The 5,681-nt window shown below is 32.8% G+C and overlaps 1 annotated feature.

Annotated features, from left to right (window-relative positions):
• Positions 4,255-4,458: a silencer, noted in NCBI's record as "fragment chr7:125175027-125175230 (GRCh37/hg19 assembly coordinates)". NCBI's record gives its function as "represses an EF-1alpha promoter that drives an FKBP-Casp9 reporter gene in an ReSE screen in K562 erythroleukemia cells {active_cell/tissue: K562}" and the evidence as "EXISTENCE:reporter gene assay evidence [ECO:0000049][PMID:32094911]".

Here is a 5,681-nt window from a genome sequence, read left to right as displayed (position 1 = left end):
TAGTCACTCATCAGCTTTAATACTACCTGGATATTTCTCTGGAATATTTGTCTCCATTTTTCCAGAGACGAGGCATGATTTGTATTTTTTTAACCAATTTTACAAGTTGTCCTGAGAGAGAAAAAGAAATAGTGTTAATGAGAACTAAATGGACTGCTCTTTGGAAAAAAACTCACTCTCTAAATTAACTAGTCTTATAGTTTATGCTTAATTCCTTGCAAATTTGAGTATTGCCAGCAGTTTTTCCTTGAATATATTGTGGAAGAGAATATCCTATGTGTTCATTTTTTTTTCCTTGACATATGGAAAAGTGCTTCTCAATAGCTTTGTAGTGGGCAAGTGCAAGTGACTGCTTTGTCTAGGGAACTTCAATGAAAGCACCGTGTGTCACTCTCACGTGAGACAATGCATGATGCTGAGGTTTCACTACCAACCCCTTCTCATCCCCATGTTGTACAGGAAGGTCTTGTGGTGAAGTGACAGAGCCATAAGATTCATGCAGTACAAGGACAGCTTCCCTGGAGGGTGACTGAGACCTCCTAGGGACTTTGTATGAGATTCAGAGACCCAATTACTTAGTTGAGTGACGAAGAGGAAAAACATACACTACAGAAAAACTGCTTATAGTAAAATTATAAATAGAAATAAGAGACTCCACAATTTTTCAACAGCATAAGCAATGAACAAAAAAAGATACCATTATGGACGATTTCATTTAACTCACTTGTAATAAAAGCTATGATGATTTTGTACATGTGTATTTATTCTATGCATACTTTTTCAAAGTCAATGCTTAACTGAGTGATATTAAGTAGACCTCATATAAAGCATTTCCTTAACTTACCTGGAAACAACCACACATTCTGTAAGAAGTATATTATTTTTATACCAGACCAGGAATGAAGTTTTTTTGTTTGTTTGTTTTAGTTTTTTCAAATAGTTATATTTTCAACAGTTACAAATAAAATTCACTAAATGTGTAACAATTAAGATTTGCAAATAATACACTTCCATCGATTTATGTTTAACATCTTTGAGAATAGACTCTGGGGTTACCAAGTGCTAATATTGACAGAATAGACTCACTCTTAGAAAAAGTCAAGCATTTTACTTTCTTCAAAATATTTTTATGTACAGAACAAAAGACTTTCATTTAAGTGATAAATGTAAATAGATCTAGCATTGAACATTAACTTGTAATATTTCCTGAAAATGTTTACTTTCCTGACTGAAGACTTGATATTTGTGTTACGTATAATGTTCCTGGATGATTTTAGTAGGTTAGTTAATATGGACTATATCTGACCCAATGCAACTGTGCAAACTGAAAAACTGATATATTTGTTAGAATCACTTCTTATATCAATACCATAATAAGACATTTTAGTCACAAATATTATTTTAAAGGTTATATGTGTCAATGTTTAAAGGCACTTGATGTGCGGTAATGAAAACTGTAATATAATACTCTTATTATCTTACACTTCATTCATTATATTAATTTCTTATTAGAAATGGCTGGCATACATTCGTTTTTGTTTGTTTTTGAGATGGAGTCTTGCTCTGTCACCCAGTCTGGAGTGCAGTGGTACAATCTTGGCTCACTGCAATCTCTGCCTCCCGAATTCAAGCGATTCTCCTGCCTCAGCCTCCCGAGTAGCTGGGACTTGCAGGCCTCCAAGCCCGGTTAATTTTTGTTGTTGTTGTATTTTTAGTAGAGACAGAGTTTTGCCATGTTGGCCAGGCTAGTCTTGAACTCCTGACCCCAAGGGATCCACCCCCTGTCTCAGCCTCCCAAAGTGCTGGGATTACAGGCGTGAGCCACCACGCCTGGCTGGCTGGCATACATCCTTAAAACTGCTATTCCAGGTAAAGAAAAAAAGAATGGAATTCCCATTTTTCAACTTCAAGACTTAATTTTCTGCCATGTAATCTAAAATTTAAGATGTATGCTAATTCCAATTGTGCGATACATTTATAAACTATAAAAATATCATACGTTAAAAGTCATCATAAAGAGAATGAAAAGACAAACTCTAAAATGGAAAAACTATTTTGTAAGACATATGACCAGAAAAATGTCTGTATTCAAAATATATAAAAAATGCCCACAAATCAATAAAAAGGATAAAAAATGCAATAGAATGGTGGGGAAAGCAATAAGTGCAAATATTTCACAGAAGAGAAAACATATTTCATAAATTAATATTGTCAACCATATTAAAATTTGGATAAATATGAATTATAATCACAGTGAGATAGCCTTTTATGCTAATCACCTTGTAAAAAATCTTAAAAAGTCTTAAAATATCATGTGCAAATAAAGATGAGAAGTGACTACCTTTTATTTCTTTTAGCTAAAATAACTAAATAAATTATAATTTTTTTAAATAAACAACTTAAATATAAAAAGTAATTATCAAAATAATTAAAATTAAGTTCACATAATTTAAAATAAAATTATAGTCAGAGTACCCCTCAGACTTGTCATCAGCAAGAATGAATATGGAACACCATAATCCTACAATATTTTGGAAAAAATGATTTGAAACAAGACAAATTATTATTGATATGTAACAACATAATAAAAACAATCCATTTTAAATTACTGTGTACAACTTAATTTAGGAATTATCTGAGGAGAACTAAAAAAAAAGGTCAGTAAACCACAGAAGAGAAAGAGCAAAATTCAGTAAACAGAGAAACCGACTCAGGAAAGCAGGGATAAGATGTCCCAGATTGATCATTCTGCAGAAGGTCATGAGAGCAACCAGTGCAAATAACTAGAAAATGAAGGACTTTGGTAGAGTGGGGATAACCAAGGTAATCTAGGATGAAAGGGTGGAGTTTTGCACATCAATAGCATGACTTCAGGATATGTGGGCTTATTATCCAATAAAAAAAAAGACAATTTGAAAACTCGATAGTGGGCAGGGGAATGGAAGGGGGAGTGCTATAAGAGAACCTTAGGCCAAATAAGAAGAAAAAGAAAATGTGTCATTTTTAACAAGAAATGTGAATCAAGAATGTCAAGAAATGTGAATCTATTTGAAATTCTATGCAAATTCTACTTAGAGTACCCCTTGATTAGAGGCATTGGCTACAGAGAAGAATGTGTGTTACTTGAATAATTTTTGTATGGTCATCATAATGTAAATGCCATTTGTTGCTTGCAAAAATTGACTTAACCTAAAGACAGAATGGAAATATCTTGGTGTGTGACTCTTAGATTAGAAGGTAAATGACATCAACTTTTAAAATATAAAGGTGTAGGTAATATAAGACACAGGTTTGAAAGTAGTTTACAATATAAATGTAGGACTGCTCTTACTATTATTTAGATGAAAATATTGTTCAAGAGAACAATGTTAGAAAAACGTAGAAGTATTGGTATATTATTTTAAAGTTTATTGGTAACAACAGGAGAATTAAGAATAATATTAATTATAAGTGTTATTCATTTGATGGAATAAAAATAGAAGTATAATTATTTGAAATAATTATTAAGACTTCATCTTTAGTTTTAGAGAAGAAATAAATACCATATAAAATTATGAGTGAAAATTAGAGATTCACAAAATAGGCTACTGATAGCGATAGGAGGCAGGTAAATTCCTAGGCAGATAGGGATGGGTCCTTGGTGTAATTCAACCTTCAAGCCAAGGAGAGTCTAAAGCCTGAAAACCAAGCTACAAGTTCCTGATAAATTCACGGACCAGATTGAGAGCCCCTGTTCCTATTTGGCACATTCTCTCCTGATTGGCCCTTATCCTTCACCTGTTTTACCTAAAGTTACCTTTCCCCAGTTGGTCCTCTACACTAACATGCCTATTTGTGAATGGTGCTTTTTCAAGCATACCTACAGACCAATCAGCACACACTTCTCCATTTCAAGCTCATAAAAGGCCCTAGACTCAGCCTCGTGGCTGGCAACCCACCTTCAGATCCCCTTTTGCTGTTGAGAGCTTTTCTGTCACGCAATAAATTCTACTCTGCCTTACTCACTCTCTGGTGTCTGCATACATCATTCTTCTTGGTCATGGGGCAAGAACTTGGAACTCATCAAACTACAGGGGTAAAAGAGCTGCAACACTAATTGTTCCCAAGTATGTAATTTAGAATCTGTAAGTATGTACTCTCTCGCAGACAGCCTCCAAGATGTCTCCTCAAAATTCCCACTTTCTGGTATTTTTGCCACTGTATAGTTTCCATCAGCATTGAATAGAGTTGACAGATTCAATAAAATACTACAATTACAACAAAACTTGATTTCTAAGTCTACATCATAAAAGGTACTGCAGCTCATACCTTGTGCTCTTAGATCATGCACTCTGGGGAAACCAGCTATCATGTCAAGAAAACACCCAAGAAGCCCTTTGGGGAGATCCAAAGTATGAGGAACAGACGCCTCCTGACCACAGCTAAAATCAACTCACCTTTCTTATGTCATTAGTTAGGGAAAGAAAATGAATCCAAGTGATCCAAACTATTTAGTTATGGTTCGAGCTAATAATAAAATGTTATTTTGCTACCATTTGATATATCACGTTCGCATCTGCTGTTTCTCCCTGGGGAAGAGTATGTATGACCAGGACAAATCTGGATCCAGAGTTCATGAATTCCTAAAAAGTTATCTACTTCACTTTCACATTTGTTTATTTTAAGTTTAGTATTTAAAACAGCATTTGACATTCTTGAGAGTCTACAAATGCAATAAATTTAACACCTGTCAATAACCCCCCAAAATTATATGTTATTTAGTGATATTATTACTTTACTTGTTACTTTAAGATATATTTATGTGTAAACTGAGTATAAAGAATTCTAGACATTTTTAAAATGCCAAAATATTTTTTTCATATTTACAGTATAAGTTTGATTTTTATAGACTTATTACATATAAAAGAGAACATTTTACTCTTTGATTTCTAGAATAGTTTTTATCTATCCTATTTTAGAAATAAACAAACAAGCAAAAAGAAAACTAATACCTTAATTTTGTCCCTCTGCTTTTTAACTCATTGTTGTTTCTCTTTATATCTTATTATTCTGACTATGTCTTGAAAGTTGTTGTAGTCATTATTTTTGATTGGTTCATCGTTTAGTCTTTCTACTTAGGATAAGAGTAATTTACATTATGAAAAGATGTAAGAATTGTTATAAGACAACTGCTATATAAATTAAAAAGAAATAAATCTAGGAGAATTTCTTCAGGATCACTGAACAGTGAGAACCGAACTACTCACTTTATAGCACTGAACGAAAACAAATTAAATAACAACATTGACATCTATAATAGATAAATGGGTGATCATATCATATTTTTTATTTGCAGGCAAACAACACCAATTTCGCTTTGAAAAATATAAAGTTCCTATGTTGAAGCTCAAAAGATAAATAAGAAGATTTTGAAAGTATTACTAACACAAAAAGCTGGGCCAAATAAAACTTGTAGTGTAACCTGAGGAGTAGAAGAAAGAAGTCTAACATACTCTCCTTTTATTTAGTTAGCATTTTTTCTTACTAATCATGTTTAACTACTGTAAATGATAATCCTAAGAAGTTCCTAACCTGAGATATGATTAAGATATCAGTTTGAGGATACTTTAGGGAAAAAGAAAACCTATAGTTAAAGGAAGAAAAATGTAAATATGGGAAAATTAAACCTAGTAAATAATGTT

This window comes from Homo sapiens, chromosome 7, assembly GCF_000001405.40.
Source record: "Homo sapiens chromosome 7, GRCh38.p14 Primary Assembly".
NCBI classification, from domain to species: domain Eukaryota; kingdom Metazoa; phylum Chordata; class Mammalia; order Primates; family Hominidae; genus Homo; species Homo sapiens.
The sequence above is the reverse complement of the archived record's forward strand: the minus strand, read 5'-3'. Positions and strand labels throughout refer to the sequence as shown.